This window comes from Homo sapiens, chromosome 7 (genome assembly GCF_000001405.40).
Source record: "Homo sapiens chromosome 7, GRCh38.p14 Primary Assembly".
Classification (NCBI taxonomy): domain Eukaryota; kingdom Metazoa; phylum Chordata; class Mammalia; order Primates; family Hominidae; genus Homo; species Homo sapiens.
In genome coordinates, this window is record NC_000007.14 from 77252803 (window position 1) to 77278410 (window position 25608).

A 25608-nucleotide genomic window follows, 5' to 3' on the forward strand; every position below is an offset into this window, starting at 1 on the left:
TCCAGTGCAAGTCATGCAGCCACGTCTGTCCTTAGCTTTGCCAGCGGGAGCACGTGCCTTCCAAGTTCAACATGGCTGGGGAAGACATTTGTTACTTACTTCCACTCACCTTCCTTGGGCAAATTAGTCCAATGGCTCCAATCCAAATGCAAGGGAGACTGTGAAATATAGTCCCCCTGTGTGTCCAGGAAGGGAAAATGGTGCAGCAAACAATGCCAATGTGTCTGTCACAAGGGCCAAAGGCAGATCCTTATAAACTTAGCCAATGACAGGATAGAAGTGTAGACAAGGTGTGCCCACCTGGACTGCTTATGAGTTCATGCCACAATTTTAATAGCTTGTAGTGGAAACAAAAGTGAAAATAATTGTCCTCAAATACCCATACCTAATAACCACTTAGACTTGGCTCCTGGTCTAAATCTGCCCTTCACCTGAAATATCCATTCAGTCTCTTATGTATCCATGTCCCTATCACATCTGGATCTCTGTCAAGTTTCCTCTGGCTCTAGCATTCGTTATACCTCAGGAATGCAATTGTCACACAAAACTGAAACTGAGCTCTTCAAATAACCCTTCTTCACACCTTTGAACAACTGTGGACTCTTCTGTGATTTCTGTGAGGGTTTTCTGCAATCTGGATGTAGAAGAATGTGGTGCAATAGGTCATTCTGAGTGACGATCTATTTCCATATGCATGCCCGTATCTCATTCAGCACATACATTATTTTAAATAATGAAGATGGGGACAAAACTAATTCTAGTTCCATTTATTCATATTAATTTTTACTGGATGGCAACTATACGCAGGTACTTTTTAAGACAATGATGATGCAGTGGTAAACTGGGAGCTAGGTTTTCTAGTGGGGAGATGTGTAATATAATGTCAGGTCATGATGAATACTGTATAGAAAAGTAAAGCAAAACAAGGAAAGAGTTTTGAGGACTATTGGTACTGTTTTAGATAGATGGCCAGGCACCTCTATGAGAAGATGATATCGGTACAGGTCTGCATGAAGCAAGAAGTGAGCTATGCAAAGATCTGTGGCGAGAGCATACCAGCTGGAGGGATCAGATAGGGCAAAGGCCCTGAGGTAGAATCAAGCTTGGCAAGAAAGCCAGTGTGACTGGTGACAGAGAGTGGCAGGCTGTGAGACTAGAGAGGCTGATGAGGCAGGGCCATGTAGGTTTGGGAAAGGAGTTCAAATTTTGGTCCAGGTGTGATGGGAATTTATCAAGCAGGGAAGTGAAGTGATCTTATTTACATGTTAAAAAATCACTGTGGTATGGGTGGAGAATTGACTTTAATGGGCAAAGGTGGATGCAGGCAAAGTAGGAGATCGATTGGGAGGCTGTAGCAGGAATCCAGGCAGGCACCCGCCCATTCCAAGTAACATAAAGGAGAAAAAGCCCAGAGCCTGCTGGGAAGGACCCTGTGTCCCGAGGCCCGTGGTCCCCAACATTTATAATGTGCTGAGATAACTCCTCTAAGTGGGTTGTGTTCACAAAGTTGGGTGGGAGTCCTGGGGAGGAGGAAGCACCCCAATGCACCTGTGATTCAGGAAAGGTGTCATAAAGAATGGACACCAGGTTGCCTGGCCGACAAGCATGGGAATGACATTCTGGGATGAGAAGATAGAAAGTTGTTATTACAGAAAGAGCTTATTTCTTTGTACTTTTTCAAACTTGATTTTTTTTTTTTGCAGCTTAAAGGAAGAAAAAATCATCATAGTAAAAGAATTTGAGAAGATAACAAAGCCAGGAGTAAGTCTTAGATGATATAGAGTTTCTTAAATACAGCTGGATTCAATCATCCCTTTTTATAAATATTAATGTTTATCACAACCACCATAGCCTGAAACATTTTAAAGACTCTAAAGTCTTAACTGTGAATGATGCTGAAAAGACTAGCTACATAACTTCTGGAGTAAATATAAGTGATGCCTATTATAGACTTTAGCAACTTGGCATCTAATTTAGGCTGTATTTAGTTGGACAATATCTGCTTTGTTTTCAGAAGAAAAAAAAGATTCTGTGGTTGACACTAAAAATATTATTTTGCTATAGCTATCACCCTCATAGCTCTCTGAACATCTCAAGTTATTACAACAAATTTTTACAAAGAAAATGTATCACTTATCTATTCCTGCCTAACAAATCATCCCAGAACTTAGTGGCTTAAAACAACAACCATTTCATTTTTTCACAGTTCCGAATATTCTGGTCTGAGCTGGCCGAATTGGGGCTGGGTAATCTAGGATAGCTCCATTCATATACCAGCCATTTGGTAGGCTACTTGGTCTAAGGTCACATGTCACTAGTTGGTCACATGATGGTGGAAGGGTTTCCAGACTCAATAAAGAGCAAACTCCAATATGTAAGACCTTTTTGGGCCTCTGCTAAAATCATTTTTGGTAATACCCCATTGGCCAATGCAAGTATTATAACATGGGCAAGTCTAGAATCAAGTTGGCCCTACCTCTTAATGGGAAGAAGGATCAAGACAATGCAAAGGGACATGCATACCCTGCAGATAGGAGGAATTCGTGGCCACTTTTTACAATCTATTATAGAACGTAAATAGAATGGTCACCATACTTTGCACTCCTTCCACCTTCTGATAATCCAAAAGTGTGTTGGTGGTGGTTTAATTCCAAGGCCAGCTCACAATAAAACCTGTTTAGCATAGAGTAAAATACTATTAATTCAAATAAGTATGCCAAACCATCATTTACAATACAGATTTTATGGGAGAAACATTTTGAATTTTCATTCAGATCCTAGGATCACCAATGATGCTCTCACCCAGCAGTGGTGGGAGGAGGGAGCTATGCAGAAAGCCCAGGGCAGGCTAAATAGACCCAGCACTTCGTCATTAGTAAGAGTAACGTGTAGACCTTCTGAGTGTAAGAAGCCTTCTCTCCCATAAGTCAAACCCTCCCCAGGTAATCAGACATGAGACAAAGATCTTTGATGATTCTGGGGTAGATGGTATTTGGGGAGGATGTGCATGAGCTAGAGAAGTAATATCAATAAGAAAGTGGGGGATTAAGGAGTGCAAAGTGTTGGGTATCCAAATATGAACACCTTTGTCTTTAGTTCCCATGTGACTCAGGTTAACCATAAGTCAGATATTCAAAGATTATTGGCATCTGATTTTGTCAGATCACAAAGCTACTAGAAAACAGACTGTACATTTTTTTTCATGCTTCTTGGTATGAAATAAAAATTGACACATAAAATGAAACGTTTTTAAATGTAGGAGGATAGAAAAGAGCACTAATAAAATAATTCAAATATAATGTTGTGTTTAATTATACATGCAGTATCATTATCATGCCTTTGTTAAAGATGTCAGAAATCATAAGTTGCATTTAGCTTTATGAGAAATCATTTAACCTTGTGAGAAATCATTCATGAACTTCAAAACAAATATAATCAAAATGGTGGGTGAAATTAGTTTTAGTTCAGTTTTTAGGTAGATAAATGTTTGCTCAGACTATATAACCTAATCATCTTCACGACTTTTAAAGGAAATGGAGAAGAAGATGAAAATATTGAGAGAAAGCACTGAAGAATTACGTAAAGAAATAATGCAGAAGAAATTAGAAATTAAAAATTTACGAGAAGATTTGGCATCTAAACAAAAGCAATTATTAAAAGAGCAGAAGGAACTAGAAGAATTGTTGGGACATCAGGTCGTCCTAAAGGTGTGCTACTTACCGTTGATATTTAAACATTGTGCCTTGCATGGATATAAAAGTGTGTGGGTATCAAGAGTAACCAGCAGGTTGGATAAAGAGGGGTATTGTCTCACAAACTGAAATATCTGCATTGCGATTGATCCTATCAAACTAAATCTAGGCTCTGGGAATGCACAAAAGACCTTAGGGTGTTTGGGAGTATCACTCGATAATTCGGAGCCCTCACCCTGCGGAAAAGGTCTCTCCTGACCTCACCAAACATTTCTGGACATTAGAAACAAGTGTCACAAACACAATTGTTTCCTTGAAGAACAACCATGGCCAGGCACAGTGGCTCACACCTGTAATCCCAGCACTTTGTGAGGCCAAGGCGGTGGATCACCTGAGGTTAGGAGTTCGAGACCAGCCTGGCCAACATGGTGAAACCCTGTCTCTACTAAAAATACAAAAATTAGCCGGGTGTGTGATGGTGGATGCCTCTAATCCCAGCTACTTGGGAGGCTGAGGCAGGAGAATTGCTTGAACCCGGGAGGTGGAGATTGCAGTGAGCTGAGATCGCGCCACTGCACTCTAGCCTGGGTGACAGAGTGAGACTCCCTCTCAAAAACAACAACAACAACAAAACGCACACACACACACACCTACACACATACCAAAACAACCAAATGTCCTAACCTCTCACATATATTTGTATTACCTTATCCTTGTCGGAGTGCATTCCACTTCCTCTCAGTAGAAAAGGGATGAGAGGCCTGTATTTATGTTTTAGGAGATAATGAATTAAAATTCATTTTACTTTGAAAAATGTATAAATGACTCTCAAAACAGTTTTAATAACCTAGAGTTGTTTTAAAAACAACATCTGAAACTCATTGGCTTAGGGGATAATGGTGATACACTTTGACCTGTTTTTCTATAACAGTCCTAGAGCAGACAGCCAAGATGTGCCCAGCTACTGTCCAGAACATAGGACCCTAGCAGAGATGGATTTAACAGGAACCCAGTGAAGCTTAAGCTTCAGGCCCCTCACTTGCATGAACCTCTTCCAAGATGCTGCACCTAAGTTAGCATTTGTAATTGTTTACTCTTTCTGTTAACGAGGGCCCCCAAGATTGTACAAGTTTCAGCCCCACAAAATTTGATCTGCCCCAGGACTGAGCAAGATCCCACAGAGAAATGTCTCGCCCACCACACTGCAGTGACGGATTCAACCTCCCTGCATGTGTGTTACCCCTGGCTCCAAAGTCCAATGACAACCTCGGGCAGGAAGGGGCTTTTCTATAACCCTTGCTGAGTACGTAAGACTCTTGAGACTTCAGCTGAACCTCCCATGAATCCACAGAGCATAGTGGGAGGTGCGGTGTTAGACAAACTTAGCTTCCGAGCTTGGCCTTGCCACTTACTAGCTGTGTGACTTCGGGAAACTTATTTAACTTCTTGTAGCATGAGTCTTAGGCAGGGCTCCCCAGAAACAGACCCTAAGACAACTACTAATGGAGGGAGAACTCTAAGGAGAATCCTATAGGAGATGGAGGGAAGCAGGATAGAGCTGGGGAAGAAGCTGGGCCAGAATACAGCTGCTTCAGAACTCTAGTCTCAGCCTGATCCCATGGAGAACTCAAGAAGTCATGAGTTGCATCACAGAGGCTGTTGCACCCAGAGGTGGGGGTGGGGGGTGTCTGTTAGATCACCACATCAGTTAGTCATTGGTCTCAGCTTGCTCCCCTCCTCCCTCCACCCCCTGGCTCCCATTCCCTGACAAGGCAGCTCTGCTCAGCCAGTGACAATCTGATGGAGAGGAGATTAAGCATGATCCATTAGCAGTCACCCCTGCAGCATTTGAGGGATGGGTGGGCAGACGGGCCCTGGCTTATGATGGTTCAGCTTATGATTTTTCTACTTTACAGTGGTGTGAAAGCAGTATGCATTTAGTAGACACCACGCTTCAAGTACCCATGCAACCATTCCGTTTTTCATTTTCAGTATTGAATAAATTACATTTATTGTACAGTATTCAATATGTTATGTTTATTTACTGTGTGGCACTCAACACTTTATTATATAATAAGCTTTGTATTAGGTGAACTGTAGACTAATAAAAGTGTCCTGAGAATGTAGGCTAGGCTAAGCTATGATTTCAGTAGGTTAGGTGTATTAAATGCATTTTCAACTTAAGGTAGTTTCAACTTACAACGGGTTTATTGGGACGTCACTCCATTGTATGTGGAGGAGCATCTGTACCTCCATAAAGGGAATCTGGGCAGAGGACCAACAGTATTTGCTACACTCAGTTACCTCCTCTTCAAAATGATAACAAATATAGCTCTCTTACAAGGTCACCGTGAGTATTAAATGGGATAATTAAAGCACACAGGGCAGATGGTAAGTATCTACATATTGTAGTTCCTTTCTCTCTCATATTTAATTTTCTTGTCTTAATTGCTTCTAGCCGAAGACCGCATAATTTAACATGATTTCGTTTCTTTACTAGGATGAAGTGGCCCACCATCAAACCATTCCAGTACAAATTGGAAAAGAGATAGAAAAAATAACACGCAAAAAAGTGTATGATTTAATATTTTTACTTTGAATCCCTGCCAGTCCAAGTTATGTGTGCACACTAGAACAAGAGTACTAACCATTGGACACATTAAATTACTATGATAATTTTAGAAATTTCTGCTTTGGGCCCTGTCTAGGTTGTTTATATCAAGTTCTTTAAAAGAAAGTAATGCACCAAATTTCTATCATTCATAGTATTTATGGCTTAATTATGGGTCAAGATTCTGTTGCCAATTTATAAATCATATTTTTATGGAGAAGTTCAATTGACTTTAACAGAGCGGTGCATGGGATAAATTATGCGAACTGGTTAGAATTTCATAGTCTAGAAGTATATCAGCCAGGCAGCAGCCCAAAGCCCAAATAATAGTAACTCCCCACTTTGCCACCCATTCATGTGTATAACACTCCTCAGATATTCAGAGTAGATTGGGAGGCAGAGGTCATTGAGGAAATTCTCAGTGTTTAAGGAACCAAAAAAGATAAAGATTTTAAGTGAAGATACAAAAATTCTGGAAAAATAATATAATTACTCTGGTGACTAATCTTAAGGGGAAAAATTAGGCAGGCACTAGTAACTGTTCTAAAAACTAAGCTCACCAACATCAAAGTTGAGAAACTCAGGTCAGTTTCAGGAGGCTGGTCAGGACGAGGGTTGAATCACAGGAGATGGTAGCAAATTGGGATCTGCACAGAAAGTAGGGAGGCTGGGCAAATTCCTGCCTTCCGTGGCACTCAGTGGAGATACCCTCCAAGTCCCACCCATCTGTGGTCTTTACCCACTGCTGAGATCATTGAATTTATGACTATCTCTTCTGCTGCATGGTTAGAAAGCAAGAATAGGTAAAGCCAGCATGGCCTCAAAATAAGGCAAGTGTGTGTGTGTGTGTGTGTGTGTGTGTGTGTGTGTGTGTGTGTGTGTGTGTGTGTGTATCCCCTACAGAGAAATGGAAAAGAAAAAAATTGTCTTGGAACAAGAAGTCAAAACGCTAAATGACTCCCTAAAGAAAGTTGAAAACAAGGTTAGTGCTATAGTGGATGAGAAGGAAAATGTAATAAAGGAAGTTGAAGGCAAACGAGCCTTACTTGAAATCAAAGAACGAGAACATAACCAATTGGTCAAGCTATTGGAATTAGCCAGAGAGAATGAAGCAACTTCATTAACTGAAAGGTTAGTTATATTTATGTATGTTATGTTCTGTCATCTAAATTTTTCTTCAATTTATATTTGAGAATTCAAAATCTCACTTTGGTGTTGAGTTAATAAATATTTAAAAATAATTTTAAATCAACTTTTACCCTTAATATATTATCAAATAAAGCACTTTGAAGTATTTTTTGATACTTTACTCAAATTTTCTCAATTTTCTGTTACCAGATTTTCAGGATATAATCTGTTGTATGTTGTAAGTTTCTGAATGTGCCTTTGGAAAATTTATCACTGGAGTATGTTATGTTCAGGGATTTTGCCAACAAATGAATGATACTTCTTAGGCCATCTTGACTTTTTTCTAACAGAAGCAATTTCGTGGTGTAATTCCCTAGGAGAGTTTTATGTCCTGCTTTTTTGTTTGTTTTTTGAGATGGAGTCTTGCTCTGTCGCCAGGCTGGAGTGCAGTGGCACGATCTTGGCTCACTGCAACCTCTGCCTCCCGGGTTCAAGTGATTCTCCTGCCTCAGCCTCCCGAGTAGTTGGGACTACATGTGCGCACCACCACGCCCGGCTAATTTTTTTTTTTCTTCTCATTAGAGACAGGGTATCACCATGTTGGCCAGGTGGTCTCGATCTCTTGACCTCGTGATCCACCCGCTTTGGCCTCCCAAAGTGCTGGGATTACAGGCATGAGCCACCGCGCCCAGCCTATGTCCTGCTTTTAAGTAAAATTTCAAGGAAACTGGAGGCTTCTATCTCTGCCAGTCTGTTATTTTTTTGGGGGGTGGGGGTTATAAGACTGCAGTTCTAAATGATACCAACTCACAAACCTAGTTGCCTTTGGCATTATTTACAATTTATGATTCCAACATGAGAATAGTCATGTGTGTATATACTGAGCATGCTGTCTTTTATTAAACTTTTAAGTTCAAGGTTACACATACAGGTTTGTTATAGGTAAACTTGTGTCATGGGGGGTTGTTGTACAGATTATTTTGTTATCCAAGTATTAAGCCTAGTACCTATTATTTTTCCTGATTCTCTCCCTCCTCCCATCCTCTACCCTCCAAAAGGCTCCAGTGTGTGTTGTTCTTCTCTATGTGTCCATGTATCCTCATCATTTTGCTCCCACTTATAAGTGAGAACATGTGATATTTGGTTTTCTGTCCCTGCATTGGTTTGCTAAGGATAATGACCTCCAGCTCCACCCACGTTCCTGCAAAGGATATGATCTCATTCTTTTTATTTTATTTTTTATTTTTTATTTTTTGAGACGGAGTCTCGCTCTGTCGCCCAGGCCGGACTGCGGACTGCAGTGGCGCAATCTCGGCTCACTGCAAGCTCCGCTTCCCGGGTTCACGCCATTCTCCTGCCTCAGCCTCCCGAGTAGCTGGGACTACAGGCGCCCGCCACCGCGCCCGGCTAATTTTTTGTATTTTTAGTAGAGACGGGGTTTCACCGTGTTAGCCAGGATGGTCTCGATCTCCTGACCTCATGATCCACCCACCTCGGCCTCCCAAAGTGCTGGGATTACAGGCGTGAGCCACCGCGCCCAGCCCTCATTCTTTTTTATGGCTGCATAATAGTCTGTGGCATATGTACCACATTTTCTTTATCTGGTCTACCATTGATGGGCATTTAGGTTGGTTCTATGTCTTTGCTATTGTGAATAGCACTGTGATGAGCAAATGTGTGCATGTGTCTTTAGGATATAACAGTTTATATTCCTTTGAGTATATACCCAGTAATAGGATTGCTGGGTCAAACGGTAGTTCTGTTTTTAGGTCTTTGCCAGAAGAGATTGGGAGCCAATATTCAGCATGCTGTCTTGATAAGTTTTGAAAAACATTTAGGACAGCTGATAACAAAATCATTTTCTTCTTCTTCCTTTACCTGGAACAGAGGGATCTTGGATCTCAATTTACGCAACAGTCTCATTGACAAGCAGAACTACCATGATGAACTTTCTCGTAAGCAAAGAGAGAAAGAACGAGATTTTCGAAATTTAAGAAAGATGGAACTGCTCTTGAAAGTGTCCTGGGATGCACTTAGGCAAACTCAAGCACTGCATCAAAGGCTTCTATTAGAGGTGAGGGCTGTAAACTACCATCTGATTTTTAAGCTCGGTGCTAACTTTTGAAGTAAAAATATTTTAGGAAGTTGTTTTTGCTGCCAGTAGAGAAGAAGAAAATACAAGTAACAGAGAAAAGGTAATTTTCAAATGCGTCAAGCCTATTATGAAATCTATAGTCCTATAATGTTTCGTAATCTCATTTTTCTAACCCAAGATTAGAGAAATGTCTTGTTTGGATCAGTCATCCTTCAGCCTGACCTGGGGAAATGACTGGACTATCCAGTTCTAGAAGAGCTAGAGGGTTCACTGCAGAATGGGGCCAAGTGGATCATTATTTTCACCAGTTGAAGGAGTCAGATCCGGCATGGTGTCATGGCAGACTATAACAGTGAAGGACTAGATCAAATTACATAGACATAAATGATCAGCAGCCTGCACTTCCGACTAGCCAAGGGCAATCCAGAACCCAATATCAGGCTGCCTGGCTAATTCTGTGCAGGGTCAGAGGTGTACTCCAGTCAGAAGATGCTCAAGACAACTGTTACCTGCCTCTGTGTTCCCAAGTGAGGGGTCTGGTTGCCCCTGGCTCTCTTTTCTCTCAGAGGGCACTCCCTGTGGTAAATGACCAAGCGCCACTGAAAGGGCAGAGGATCCTTGAGAGGGCTTCAGCCTTGTGCTAGAGCCTTCCTTGAGCGAAAAAGGGGTCAGCCTCTGAGATGAAGCAGCTAGGTGTATAGAAACCTTCCCCGTTCTCTTCAGGACTGTCATGCTCCAGAACCTTATGGAGGGTCATGACCTAAGAAATTTGAACAGGAGTTTCCAGCTGTGGTAGACACCTCTGATCCTAACCTATGCCTAGTTCTCCTCTCCTCCTGGGCACATAGAAAGTTTATACTTCCTTGCACCCTTTGCAGTTGAGCAGAGTCATATAACTCATTCTGGCCAGAGGATTGTAGACAAAAGTGACACGTGTCACTTCCAGCCTATAACATCTAATTGCCAATGTGAGACCCTCTAGCTGTTTTTCCCTCTCCTGTGGTAATTGTGGAAGTGCATGACACCATGGAGGTGCTGTAAAATGGGAGCAGCCGGGAATGCTGAGCCAACAGTGGTCTCAGAGTCCTCTTGATTGCCCACCGGCTTTGTAGGAAACAGCTTTGGTAGTTCGAAGCCATGATATTTGGAGGTCGTTTATTTCTGTAGCATAACTTAGCCTGTCCTGACTGAAAGACCAACCTTAAGCAACATGTGTGAAAAAATCGGTTAGGGTTATGAGTGTTACGAACAACTAGGACTTGGACTTCGTCTTGCTGTCAGATGGCACTTATAATCTTTTCAAGAAGTTCTCTGGTTGGGCACAGTGGCTGCTGCCTGTAATCCCAGCACTTTGGGAGGCCGAGGTCGGCAGATCACCTGAGGTCAGAAGTTCAAGACCAGCCTGGCCAACATGGTGAAACCCTGTCTCTACTAAAAATACAAAAATTGGTCGGGTGTGCTGGTGCACACCCATGATCCCAGCTACTTGGGAGGCTGAGGCAGGAGAATCGCTTGAACCCGGGAGGCGGAGGTTGCAGTGAGCTGAGGTTGTGCCACTGCACTCCAGCCTGGGCAACAGAGCCAGACTCCATCTCAAACAAAAAAAGGAAGTTTTCTATCTCAGTGAGGCAAAATGTACTTTTATAGTCTTTTGCAAAACCAATAAAACATGTATGTTCTACTATATATGTGTTTTCACAAATAACTTTTATATAACTGTTATATATAGTATATTTATGATATATATACTTCTTATTTAATCATTTTATTGCAATTCCAACAGGTAGATTTATTTGTATCACTCTGAAATCTCTTTAACTCTAGTAGTACTTTTTGCCTTAAAATATTATTTTGTCTGATTTTAGAATAATAACATCAGTTACACTATCTTTTGGCGTGTTAGATTCTGCATGGTATTATTTACTTTGATTTTTTTTTCTTTTTCTTTTTGGAGACAGTCTTGCTTTGCTGCCCAGGCTGAAGTGCAGGCACCATCTCAGCTCACTGCAATCTCCACCTCCCGGGTTTAAGCAATTCTCGTACTTCAGCCTCCCAAGAAGCTGGGATTACAGGCATGTGCCACCAATACACAGCTAATTTTTGTATTTTTAGTAGAGACAGGCTTTCACTATGTTCGCCAGGCTGGTCTCAAACTCCTGACCTCAAGTGATCCATCTGCCTCGGCCTCCCCAAAGTGCTGGGATTACAGGTGCGAGCCACCGCACCCAGCCCTATTTACCGTCACTCTTTCTGTGTCCTCATTTTGGTGTGTCTCATATACACAGCACATACTTTTCAAAATCTAGTCTGATAAGTTCTGCCTTTTTAAATTCTTGTATTTAGTCTAAAAATTAATACTTAATGTAATTGTGGATATATTTGTCCTTATTCTGTGATATTACTTTTGCTTTCTCTGTATCCCATCCGCTTCATGTTCCATTTTCTCTCCCACATTTCCTTCCTTGGGATTAATCAACGTTTCATATAGTTCTGCTATCCTTGTTTTAGATATGCATCAGTTAGTTTTACATTCTATTTCTATTCTTTGGGTGGTTACCCTGAAGATTACAACAGTCATCTTTGACTTACTAGAGTCAAATATAAGTTATTTGTATTTTTACTACTTCCAAGACAGTGCTAATACCTTTGATGATTTTAACTTTACTAACCTTTGCAACTCTTATGCCCTCAAACATATTTTCACTCCAACTTTCCAAGTTATTCTTGTTGGAAGCATTGGTTTACTATAAGCTACTCCATCTTAGCCCGAAGCACAGCACGTTAGGATGTTAAATTGGAACTTTGGGCAAACACAGACCCTGTGGCCACCCCTCCTCAGTCATAGTAAGATTTATAGTAGACCGCAGTTATAATGTCCATTCAAAGTACTGACGGAAACCTCAGTGTAATGAGTAAGACTCTTAAAACCAGCAAGTGTTGCTTGTACTAATAAAACAATTCCTGTTTATTGATCAAATAACTGTTCAGTAAGATTTCTTTAAACAATGGGATAAAATGTATAATTACCTTTAATAACCAATTTTGGTAGTTATGGTAGTAAGTAAAGTTAATCCATTCAATATGCTTCTAATGCTGAATCATCAAAGCATTCTTAATATTGAAGAGTAAGGTAACCTAAATAGAAGCAATAATTTGTCTCATAAATTAATACTTCTTAGCTCAAGAAGGGTTATACATTGGTAAAAATCACAAGATTGGTTCTAAAAGACTACACACAAAAAAACAGACTTAGGTTCACTTCTACCAGAAAATCTAGATTAAGTACCATAGAAGGGACACATAAACCTAATACACAATGTAATCCTACTACTTCCACTTCTAGTTAAAATAGAAAACATTGTGATGGACCATCGTTTCTGCTATACCAGCCAGAAAGAAATCAATAAACTAAAAATCACATATTTTTAAGAGACATATGCAAGTAGGAAGTAAATTCCACAAAGGCATCATCACTTCCTGGTGAGCAGAAACAGGTGGCCTTTTGCCTCCCTGAGACATTTGCCAAGTCGAGACTTGGGCAGGTGGAAGATTTGCCTGCCATAGGCAGAAAGACTTTGCTGGGGTTAGTCAAAACCATCAGAGCTTTTAATGACCATGTGTGTTGGCATGACAAAGTGGAATGAATTACTTAACCAAAGACATCATACTGTCATGTAATATCACACATGACGGTATACCTCTGCATTTAAACATGGCTCTTATTGACTTCCACGTGGCACTGAAAAGAAAGAAAACCATGATTCCTAGGATTTTGCTCTGACACCATCATGTTGTAGGGGTTAGAATATCATGAGTCTGTGAAGTTATTCGCTTTCTAAACATAAGATCATGTCCAAGATTGTGACAATGACAAAATCCTCTTACCAAGTGAATATGACACTTTCTATATACTGTAATTTTTCTTTAATTATAGTTTTCTAGCAATTTCATCTCCCTTTGCTCTGATTTAAAAGTGGTTCTGCATTTTTCTCTCTTCATGACTCATTTCAGTGTTGAAGGCAATGATAACAACATACTATACTGAGAAGAGCTTCACCTTTGAGTCAGGCACAGTCAGGTTCAGATTCTAGATCCATTGAATTCCTACCTATGTTACTTGTTTCCAAACCTTTGAATTGGGATTATTGCAAAAAATGAGTGACTGCAAATGGGAAAGTGTGTGGTACCGAGAAGATACTCAGTAAATATTGCCTTCCTTCCTTTATACATATGAACTCTTTGAAAGGCTATAAAGTAAATGGTATAGTCAGAATGACACTGTGAATATGGCTATTTTATTCATATGGAGAAGATGACATCATCAGGCCCTACTGATAAACCCCGGAAATGCCTCTCAGTACCCACTCTGCATTACCTAAATGACTGCAGCTCTACACCAGCTGTTCTCCATAGGTCCAGCTCCTTTCATGTCCAATTTTTCCTCCATCTTAGCCCAAAGCACAAATTTATATTCTTAAGTGACACATTCATGTGTCACTCACCTGCTCAAGACATTCAATGGATCCTTAATTCACATAATCACAGAATGAAGGAACCAAGAGGAATCTTAAAGATCATACTCTAAAAGCAAACAGGTTTCATCTCAAATGCCAGCTCCCTCCATTTGGGGGTAGCTCCCTGTAGTGATGATAATGCAAAGGAATTTTTTTTTTTTTTTTTTGAGACAGAGTCTCAGTCTGTTGCTGAGGCTGGAGTACAGTGGCACCGTGTCGGTTCACTGCAACCTCTGTCTCCTCGGTTCAAGCAATTCTCTTGCCCTCAGCCTCCTGAGTAGCTGGGATTACATGCACCCACCACCAAGCCCAGCTAGTTTTTATATTTTTAGTAGAGATGGGGTTTCACCATGTTGCCCAGGCTAGTCTCAAACTCCTGACCTCAGGTGATCCACCTGCCTCGGCCTCCCAAAGTGCTGGGATTACAGGTGTGAGCCATCGCGCCTGGCCCAATATTGCAAAGGATTCTGAGGCCCAGTGCTGACTTGTCAGATAGAAGCTCTGTAGTTGATTGGTGATGTCTGCCCCAGGCATAGAAAGTTTGTCCATGTATTTCCCATTCCTAATCAAGTCATCTTCCTAATCAAGCGCTGTTTCTTCAGCCAGTTCTTTTGGTATATCTTCATACCCCAAGTAACATGCTTATGATGCTGCTACTTGAGTTTTCAGTTGTAGACTTGATCTTTTTTTTTTTTTTAATCACTATAAAAGATGAGGATTCAGCCCTCTTTAGACCCCTGTTCATCACAAATACATTTCTTGTCCCTCTGTATACACGGTATTCTCATGTCATAATTTTGATTAGTTCAGAATTTGTTATTATTATGAACATATAAAGGCTATTCGTGCCTGAGCCATGTGATATTATATAATTACCCTTACAAAATTTTGTGTTCCCAGGAATTTATAAACATCCTGTTTTTACACTTTTATAGTTTTCGGTGTGCTTATCAGTTCAATCCCAAATTCTTCTCCAATTATATAAATCTCCTCTCAGTATATTAAAACACATTTGATGGCCTATTCATTTACTCTTCTTGAAGAAATCTCTTCTAAGCCTCATCAATGACCTCTAGCCAAAGACTAACAGGAATACATCAGCAGTTGAATGCGCTGAGTTTATTACATATTGCAGCAAGGGAGAACACACGCCATGGAGAATTGTAGGGAGTCTCAATAGAGGGTATTAGAAAGGACTTACAGGATATGTGTCATGTGACTTGAGGAACGGTTTAAAGAAATGGGACTTTGCCCTGAATTAGGATGTTCTCAGGAAATGAGAGTAATTCTGTGGTAGAGTATCTTAAATTTTACCTAGAAAAAGAAAAGATTAGATGGAGACCAAAACTGTGATTGTTAAACAAAGCTATACAAGGGGAATTTATGGTATTTTGTGGCTTGGACAATGTTCATGTTTTTGTCTATGTTCAAATACAGTTATGGAGTGGCCTTGTTTTTGTCCTGATCCATCATGATTACAGAGGGGCTTTGTCTGAAGTTGATGTTCTGGGCAATTGTTTATGTTCAACAGGGGAATACCAAGGCCTACCTATGAGTACCAGTTCTGCTCCTGGATACCAGGGGCTGCCTTTTTCTTTCTCAGCCTTCTGACTTGTTCCAAAGTAGTCCATTTCTGTATGTGCTTACTGCACTGCTCTCATTCTAGGAGCCTTACTCCATCATCTTGCTGATGCCCTTCACCTCTCTTCCGACTCTATTTCATGGGTCTCATCTATTTTATTCTCTTAGCTTACCCCCTTTTGGAGGAGGGGACATGCCTTCCAGTAGCTTCATGAGAAAAATGTTAGTGAAAAAGTAATTGTTTAAGACTTTGTGTGTTGGAAATTGTATGTCAGAAGACCTTGCATGCTAAAAAATATTTTACCCTCACACTAGCCATACAGACAATTAGTGCTTTAATTGGATATGGAATTTTAGGTTGGAAATCATTTTCCCTCAGGAAAAAGGCATTAGATTAACTGCCTTCTAGCTTCACTATGAAGAAGATTTGATGTCATTCTAAATATTGATCCTTTATTTGAAGCCATTTTTTTTTCCATGCTGGGAAATTTGTAGGATCTCTTACTTGCCTCCAGAATTTTTACATTTTACAATGATGTTCCCATTGTATCCATCGTGTGGGGCACTGAATGGGTTCTCTGTCTATGGAAGTATATGTCCTTCCAAAGTTCTGATACTTTGTCTTGGATTATTTAATTTTGTCCATTTGATTTTCTCTATTCTGTCTTGGATTCCTTTTACGCAGATGTTGGACCTTCTAAAACAGTCCTCTAATTTTCTTTTTTCTTTTATTTTCCTTTCTTTTTTGTCATTTGACTTGCTAAAAGAGAAATTTCCTCAAGTTTTCCTTTCAACCCTTCTACTCTTTCATTATGCTATCATACTTTATATTTCCTTGTGCTCTCTTTGTTCTCTGGATGTTTCTTTTTCATAGTATCTTTAATCTCTTATCTCATTGAGGCTATTAATGATGGTTTCTTTTTCTTCTTCTTTTCCTAAATAAGACTTTTTCTCCGTGTTTTTTCTGTATTTTTCTTTTTTTGTTTTTGTCTCTTTCTTTTTAGAAACTTTCCTCCAATATATGGTAATTCTTGGCTATCTGCTTATATTTAAGCATGGGCTGCTATAAATCTAATTGGAAGCTGTCTGTGATGGTGAGGCTTGTCACTGTAGTTTGATCTGACTGGACACAAAATATGTGAGGCATGGCCTTTGACCGAAGAGGAGTTTGCAGTGGAATGCGCACAAGTTGTTCAGATTTTAACAAATATTATAAAAGCTATTTATATTATGACACTACTAGCTATTAAGTCCACAAAATAGCACCCATTGAATATAAAACTAAGCACCCATAGAATATAAAACTAACAGAAATTAAAGTGTATTAGAATCCTTTTCCTTTGTTGATTTTAAGAAAAATCTGGTTTTGTTCTAGTACAGTTTCAGTGAGAGACTAACTTCCTCTTTGACCCTGTGATTTATAATTAGCCCAGCCACTGCCCACAGCTGGCAGTACTTGAAAACAGGAGTGGGTCAGGCCAGGCACTCCCAGCCCAAGTGAACATTTTTTCAGACTTGCATGCAATCCAAAACTAAAAGAGATAAAAGGTAAACATGAAGAGCTCTAGCTATTCTTCAGAATGTATTTCCCCCCAGAGACAGTTGTTTGATTCTCCTATGGCGTTTGACTTGTACATAGAGACTCTCCCAGAAACTCAAGGTACAAGCCTCATGAAAGGTTGGAATGCTTTAGAAAAATATCAAAGTGTTAAGCTGAGGTTCACTGATATCAAATAATTGGGATATTTACAGCAACAAGTAATGTCTAATTTCTTAACTTTTATGAAAGTTACCGATGATTATTCATGCATTGAAAATGCCTGGAAGAACAGACACCAAAACTATTAATAGTGACTCCTGGGGAGTAGTACTTGAAGCAGCAGAGGTAGGAAGCAGATTTTTTTTTTTTTTTTACTTTACACATTTCTGTTGTTTGGTCACAATCACAATAAATACATTTTTAAATGTGAAATGCTACACTATAAAAACTAAAAGAACTATCATAAGCTTACAAAACCTGATATATGCAGTTTGGGGCTCAAAAGAAATGGAAAATATCTCAAGTAACTCCAGACCATGTAGTTAGAACTTTGATACTTGATAGTTATTTTCCTCCCACATTAATGGAGACTTCAGTCTAACTCCAGCCTATTTTCCAGATTACCTTGGGAAGGTTTCCTTTCAAGAGAAACACCTATTAGGTTAGGTTTGCAATTTGGCCTCAATGAGTAATAGAAACTCAACTATAATGATTTTGCTAAATAGGGAGTTGTTTTACTCACTTAATAAAAAGAGCACAGGTAGGCACAACCGGTTATTTCACATAATGAAAAGTCTAGGATCCTTTTAGCTCCCCTTTCAGTCAACCTTAGTGTGTACATTGTTTCTCCATGGTCAGAAAATGGCTATTCCACCTTAAGCATAAACTGGCAAAAGGAGGAGGAAGGGCAACGAGCAAAAGACATAAATGATTGCTGGCTTGGCCAGCTCCTTTTAACAGGAAAACAGCCACTTTCCCAGGACCCCTCCTCACAGACTTCCACTTACATTTCATTGGCTTGTCTTAGCTCATATGGGCACCCCCAGCTGCAAAGAAGTGTGAGGACTCCTGGATACATTGCAGCTCTGGAAAAAAAAAAAAAAAAACAGCATTCTGTTGCTGTCGTGGTTAATACTAAATGTCAATTTGATTGGCTTGAAGGATACAAAGTATTGATCCTGGGTGTGTCTGTGAAGGTGTTGCCAAAGGAGATGAACCTTTGAGTCAGTGGGCTGGGGAAAGCAGACCCACCCTTAATCTGGGTGGGCACAATCTAATCAGCTGCCGGTGTGGCTAGACTATAAACAGGCAGAAAAATGTGAATGAGAGACCGGCCTAGCCTCCCAGCCTACATCTTTCTCCCGTGCTGGACCCTTCCTGCCCTCGAACATCGGACTCCAAGTTTCTTCAGTTTTGGGACTCAGACTGGCTTTCCTTCCTCCTCAGCTTGCAGATGGCCTATTGTGGGACCCTGTGATCCTGTGAGTTAATACTTAATAAACTCCCCTTTTTATTTTATATATATATATATACACACACACTAATAGGAGATATATATATATATATATATATATATATATATATATATATATATATATATATATATGGAGATACAAAGAACCCTGACTAATAGAGTTGCTAAGATCAAGGTGGAGGGTAGCTATTGGCTAGGCAACCAGGAGGCTCTGCTACCAATGGCTTATCATGTCACCTCTTCCACAAGCCAAGCCTACCTAATTCCTGCCTGAAACTAGAGAGCTGGGCTTTACAGAGAATTTAAAATGGTATCAGAGAAGCAGTAGCCAGAGTTCAAAAATGAATACAATTTATTGAAGTATTGTTTGTGTTTCAAAATATTGGAAATAACCAAAGTGTCTAGACCTCAAGCCAGAAAAATCTGTCGAGAGCCTTTAGTTGACATAGTAGCTAGTGAGTGTGTTCTCATCATATTTTCTGTCGAAACCTCATAAGGGTTCCTGGGCCCTGTTATTCACGTTTACATCTGCCGACACCCGGGAGCTGAGCATGAGGACAGCCCACTCCAGGCACACCTGTAGCAGAGAATCAGACAGGGACCCAGGATGTTTGCTGGAGTTCCTCTATCCAGGAGGTCTTAACTTGACTTTCCTAAAGGAGAAATCAACACTTCCTTGATGAATATTCACATCTTCCAGGAAGGCTTTCCCAATTATTCAATTCTATACTGAGTTCTCCCTTTTCTGATCTGCTATAGCAATTTTATGTTTGTTAAGCCCACAACATTCTGTATATTGTCAGACATGTTTCACAAGACCACATCTCGTTTTCCTAAGTCCAGTGTGTGCATCTCAAGAGCTAGTGCTCCAGGGTAGGAGACCCAATGGAAAAGCAGGACATGGACACCTGAGGGTACAGAAGGTGCTACTGAAGATACCCTGATTCATGGATGATGGGGCATCCAAAGACACACTTTAGTGACTTTAACATAGCAGCATGATCCTCAAAAAGATCCTGTTAAGTAACCTTCAAATCACTAGACAGTGTGATATTCCTTTCTTGGGTCTAAATTTTGGCCATTATTCAACCTTAGGGCCTACAAGTGTGTGCTGTCACAGTAGGAACTGAACCACATCAGATTGGAGTCATGAGCTTTTGGTGTAAATAGCCAACTCTAAACTTGCTCTAAGTCAAGTAGGCTGGAAGCACCCCAAGATGACCCTCCCTGTAGCCTTGAATGGTACCCTTTCCCCATCAGCTGCCACATGTCCTCCTCTCTACTCTCGTCTTCATCACAAAGAATCTGACAAGCTCATTCCTAATAGGGCAACAAAGACTTAAAGAGTGAGATTTGCCTTTTCCCTAAAGTACGTCAACACAGGAGAAAAGTGCAAGCCGTTACAACAGAAATGTAATGGTGAAATTTTAGGTATCAACCAAAAAGTTGAGGCTTTTCTTTTGTGTAAGAAATTTCCAGCTACTAATCAAATGACTATATATAAGTAGCAAACTATCCCCACTATTATTAATAAATTACATATTTTTCTTTATCCTATACAATTTCATAAATGTACTCACATTTTATAATAACTATAATTTGAATAGTCATAGTATATTCATGTCTCCAAAGTGCTGGGTCATGAGTTAGATGAGTTAGGCAGATCATGGGTTCCAAGTCTACCTCCCTGGGTTTACACCTGCACCATTGAGGCAAGTTGCTTAAATGTGTTTGTGCCTCATTCTCTTCATCTGTACAATTGGAGAAAATATTCCCCACCTCATGAGGGGTATTGTAATGATGAAATAAGATCGTATACACAGGCATTTAGAACCTTGCTGGACACTTGGTTTATGTTCAATAAATGTTAGCTATTAGTAAGATTTATTTCTAAATAATAAACATTTGCAGCTGGCAAATTATAGATTTTTGGCAGGTCTTCATATTTTAATTTGCCATGGCTTATAAAGAATATTTGGCATAAAGGGAAGTTCTTATAAGATTGAGATTCGTGATTTGCTCAGCATTTTCAAAAAGTGTGTGATGAGGTTGACTACACAGCAGTGAATTTTATTTATTTATTTATTTATTTATTTATTTTCAGACAGAGTCTCACTCTGTCACCCAGGCTGGAGTGCAGTGGCACGATCTCAGCTCACTGCAACTTCTGCCTCCCGGGTTCAAGCAATTCTCTGCCTCAGCCTCCCAAAGATTTATTTCTTACATAAATGCATGTTTTTAAATTTTGATTTCCAGATGGAAGCTATCCCCAAAGATGATTCTACATTATCTGAGAGAAGGCGAGAGCTTCACAAGGAAGTTGAAGTAGCTAAGAGGAATTTGGCCCAACAGGTTAATATCAATGCTCATTTAAGCTTCTATCTAAGAAGCGTTCATACAAAGTTGTGCTTTTAACTGTGCTCCACAAAACCTTATCAATAAGAGAGTCATCAAAGAGAGTATGATCCTGCTTCATGTGGGCATATTTCTTCATCTCAAAGTCCACTCCAATCCTACACTAAATTTGAGAAAAAAGAATATGTTTGAACCGCAAAAAGTATTCAAAGGAATGAGATTTTTAAATTATGGGCTGTTGATTACATTAAAAGTAAACCACAGATGTTTTATTTCACCAATGTCTAATTTCAAATTTTCGTTTGTTTTTATGTGTCTTCTTTTTCTTAGTCACTTGAAAATACAGTCTAAATACAAAGAGGTTCTATCATGTTAACCCATCGATTTTCACATTATTTTACAAAATGAAAACAATGAAGCTAAAACACCATTACTTTATTTTTAATTTTTATTTTTTTTATAGAGAGGGATCTTGCTATGTTGCTCAGGCTGGTCTTGAACTGCTGGCCTCAAGTCATCATCCTGCCTCAGCCTCCCAAAGGCTTGAATTACAGGCGTGAGCCACCACACCTGGCCTGTTTAAAAAAATACATTTTGTATAGGAAGTAAAAAGGTAGTCTAAGATACTAGCTTTACTGTATTACTTCAAACAAATAACTTATAATATTATCTGTGTTTTTTTTCAAAAGAAAATTATATCAGAAATGGAGTCTAAGTTAGTAGAACAACAACTTGCAGAAGAAAACAAGCTTTTAAAGGAGCAAGAAAACATGAAAGAGCTAGTAGTCAACCTTCTCCGCATGACTCAAATCAAAATTGATGAAAAGGAACAAAAGTCCAAGGATTTCCTGAAAGCTCAGGTAACTGCATTTTTTTAACCATTCATTGATAACTACAAGAGTTCAGGGTAGCCTCATTATAATGCCACGTGCATTAGGACATGGATGAAGCTAGAAACCATCATTGTCAGCAAACTATCGCAAGGACAAAAAACCAAACATTGCATGTTCTCACTCATAGATGGGAATTGAACAATGAGAACACTTGGACACAGGAAGGGGAACATCACACACCGGGGCCTGTTGTGGGGTGAGGGGAGCGGGGAGGGATAGCATTAGGAGATATACCTAATGTAAATGATGAGTTAATGGGTGCAGCACACCAACATGGCACATGTATACATACGTAACTAACTTGCACATTGTGCACATGTATCCTAGAACTTAAAGTATAATAAAAATATATAAATATTAAAAAAAGAACTGGAAGGAAACTCAAAAAAAAAAAGAAAAGCTATACAATTGACCCTTGAACAACATGGATTTGAACTGCATGGGTCCATTTATACACAGATTTTTTTCAACCAAATGCAGATCAAAAGTAGAGTACTCACAGAATACAAAACCTGCAAATATGGAAGGCCCACTTTTCTTACAGGTGAGTTCCACAGGGCCAACTTTGGGACTGCTTGAATATGCTTGGATTTTTGTATTCTCAAAGGGTCCTGGAACCAGTTCCCTATGTATACCAAGGAACCACTATAACTGTGCCTCTCCTTCAAGTACCAGTGACTATAAATCTTCCCTAAATGAGATTCAATCATGCACTGAAAGATAGTCCCAAGATTCAATTAACAGTAATCAACAATTTAGATGGGAAAGGAGATCATTGATAATGATCGGAGGATTTGAACAGATGGCAATTTCAGTAAGAATAAAGTGGGTGCCTCCAGTGGACAGGGCTGGCAGCTGCATAGGCTGCAGATATCATTTAGTTTTCACTCCCATCTCAGACTCCACTGTGATTTGTCCAGGAACAACTCAAGAGTGGTAGCATTAGGTAACTGTCCCTCCCAACTTCATCAAGACAGCATCATTTAATCGAATGCCAGATACCCTTAGTTGCTTCATCACACCATGATTTTCCTGGGCCTCCTACAAAGTGCCAGTGCAACATTCCCCCCTAAAATCAACAATAAAACAAATGGTAAGGCAGCACTCCTGTCATGCAAGCTAAAATTCTACCATTAGAATTGTTTATTCCATATAAGGATTATGTCCAGATCATGCCCAGAAGCTCCCTGTTAAAAATAAACAGGATATTACATATTACTAAAATAGAAGAATTTATCAGGCCAGGCATGGTGACTCATGCCTGTAATCTCAGCACTTTGGGAGGCTGAGGCGGGTGGATAACTTGAGGTCAGGAGTTTGAGACCAGCCTGACCAACATGGTGAAACCCCATCTCTACTGAAATACAAAAATTAGCCAGGCATGGTGGCAGGTGCCTGTAATCCCAGCTACTTGGGAGACTGAGGCAGGAGAATCGTTTGAACCTAGGAGGTGGAGGTTGTAGTGAGCCAAAATCGCACCACTGCATTCCAGCCTGGGTGACAGAGCGAGACTTCCTCTCAAAAATAAAAAAAAAAAAGAATTTATCTCATGACCCAGATGTGGTCTGTTTGGTCTGTTTCTAAGCACATCCCTTGTTCTCAGTCTAAGTAAGGATTTACATAGAATGGTATTTCTTCTCATTCTGCAGAAAGAGCTCACTCACGCCAAAGCATTAGTGAGCAATGAGGTATGAAGTAGATTTTTGCAAAAAAGAGAAGATCTACATTGCACAACCCACTGCAGGCACTTCACATCCCCCTTTCACTGTTTATTTTTCTACTTTAATATTTAAGAAACTAAAAGAAGTTCAGGATGGCTGGCACATGGGAAGATGGGGAGAAAGGATGTCAAATAGTGAGACCAGAGAGCGGGACAAGTCAGATGATGAAAGTCACTTAATCCATGTTAAACAATTTAGACTCCATAATGAAGGCTGCAGCAAGAGTGAAGTTCATGGAGTAGTTGGGTTTCACTAGGTAAAGAAGTGGTCAGGGAGGACTGGATGAAAGAAAGGCAGCTTCAAAGCACAGGGTGGCTAAGCGGGTAAGATGCAGGAGCAGGACAAGGAGAGGAGAGAGGAGAGATGTGGGAAGATCATCTTGGGCCAGGAGCGGTCTCTCACGCCTGTAATCCCAACACGTTGGGAGGCCAAGGCGGGTGGATCACCTGAGGTCAGGAGTTCAAGACCAGCCTGCCCAACATGGTGAAAGCCCATCTCTACTAAAAGTACAAAAAATTAGCCTGGCGTGGTGGTGGGCACCTGTAATCCCGGCTACTCAGGAGGCAGAGGCATGAGAATCGCTTGAACCCAGGAGGCGGAGGTTGCAGTGAGCTGAGATTGCGCCACTGCACTCCAGCCTGGGTGACAGAGCGAGACTCTGTCTCAAAAACGAAAAATAAAGAATAAGAAGGAAGGAAGGGAGGGAGGGAAGGAAGGAAAAGAAGGAAGAAGAAAGCCATCTTCACCAAGTCAGGGTCTGGGACAACTTGGTGTTGGCTGGGAAGATCCCACTCAAGTGAGTCTTTCCTAGTTAGAAACTTCCTCCCTTTTCTCTTTAGAAATTACAGAAACACCAGAGGTATACTTATTTGTTATAAGAAACACTGATCCGTTTTATGAATTAGATAATTTTCAATTAATTTCAAAAACTGATATACATGTATATCTATGTGTGACTAATCTATGTAAAGCAAACCTCATTATTAAATGAGCTAATTTGTATTAAACCAAAATAGACAATTCTTCTTGAGATACAGAAATTGATAAAGGACAAATGTTTATCCCTTGAGTATTTTTAGCATTAGGAATTAGTGTGTTAAACATTACCTGTACTTAGCTGCAGTTTCCATAAGAAGGCAATCTTTTATGTTCACATTGCATCCACATCCCTAAAGACAAAGGTGAAGAAAAAAAAACAATGTCACTATCACCCCTAAGACAGAATAGATGACACTACATTTTCCCATCTGTTTTATTATTCATGTGTACAGTTACTTAAATATTCGTTTCTTCCTGACCCCTATTCTCATGGAGAACAGCATTAGAAAAATGCTACACATCAATCTTGGCTCTATGGCTAGTTTCTTTCAAATCACTCATACCAAAAGGGCTTTGCTCTCAGTCCTTGAGAGAAGGCTGACAAACTCTTTCCTCTGGTTTACTACCAGCAAATCCTTCATTTTTGAATATGTTTCTTATCCCAGATGCAAGAACCAGTATCTTTTGATTTGAAGAACATAACTAGTGTATTTAGCACTTGATATATTTTTTAGAACTCTAGAAATATAACTGCTTTCTTTTAAAATATTTATGTGTAACACCTCCTTACAGCTGATCTCAATATGATGCCTTATTATGTAGGAAAACACCCCACATACAAAAGAATGGAAAGCACTTTAAAATCATTGCTTCAGTCTCTGACAAAACACCACAGAGGGTTCAGTTTATAACACTCACCAAAACTTACTAGGAATCCTCTTCTCTCATCTATTTTCCATAAACTACACTCACCCAGTCCAGCTGTGTGGTTCAAAATCACTCTTCCTCTCTCTCAAAAGTTGTCCAAACTTTTCCTCAAACCCAAGCCATGCAGGCTCTTTGCGTTTTCTCTTCTCTCGTTTGTTCTCTTCTTTAGGTAACAGTTAACAGTTTGTCTTAGCCAATGTGAATCAGTTCAGCTAGCCAGGGAATTTTCAGATCTCTTTTACCCTTCACCCTGATCTG

The 25608-nt window shown here is 39.9% G+C and overlaps 1 protein-coding gene and 1 long non-coding RNA gene across 13 annotated transcripts in view, besides 1 other annotated feature; one reads left to right on the top strand and one right to left on the bottom strand.

Moving 5' to 3' along the window:
• Positions 1–25550, bottom strand: LOC102723791 (uncharacterized). 4 transcript variants are annotated; one of them, XR_927688.3, is made up of 6 exons: positions 25342–25550; positions 24712–24773; positions 12554–12661; positions 4399–4453; positions 2596–2673; positions 1–75 (listed from the first exon to the last, which is right to left on the bottom strand). It is a non-coding gene; the product is annotated as an uncharacterized LOC102723791 (long non-coding RNA). The 4 variants fall into 4 exon arrangements; XR_001744950.2 differs by lacking the exons at positions 1–75; positions 2596–2673; positions 4399–4453; positions 12554–12661 and adding an exon at positions 14939–18246; XR_428214.4 differs by lacking the exons at positions 1–75; positions 2596–2673; positions 4399–4453; positions 12554–12661 and adding an exon at positions 21421–21565 and having other exon boundaries at positions 25396–25550.
• CCDC146 (coiled-coil domain containing 146) overlaps positions 1–25608 on the top strand; it is a 172590-nt gene that overhangs the window by 130188 nt on the left and 16794 nt on the right. For 8 of the 9 annotated variants that reach the window (XM_047420662.1, NM_020879.3, XM_047420664.1 and 5 more), the window contains 7 exons: positions 1704–1761; positions 3531–3707; positions 6193–6266; positions 7207–7434; positions 9319–9505; positions 20892–20987; positions 21680–21850. In XM_047420662.1, the coding sequence (XP_047276618.1) occupies positions 1704–1761; positions 3531–3707; positions 6193–6266; positions 7207–7434; positions 9319–9505; positions 20892–20987; positions 21680–21850 (991 nt within the window). The remainder of the gene's footprint in view (positions 1–1703; positions 1762–3530; positions 3708–6192; positions 6267–7206; positions 7435–9318; positions 9506–20891; positions 20988–21679; positions 21851–25608) is intronic. The other variant, XM_047420666.1, reaches the window with a different exon arrangement.
• Positions 18792–18974: a silencer, noted in NCBI's record as "fragment chr7:76900911-76901093 (GRCh37/hg19 assembly coordinates)". NCBI's record gives its function as "represses an EF-1alpha promoter that drives an FKBP-Casp9 reporter gene in an ReSE screen in phorbol 12-myristate 13-acetate-treated (for megakaryocytic differentiation) K562 erythroleukemia cells {active_cell/tissue: K562(+PMA)}" and the evidence as "EXISTENCE:reporter gene assay evidence [ECO:0000049][PMID:32094911]".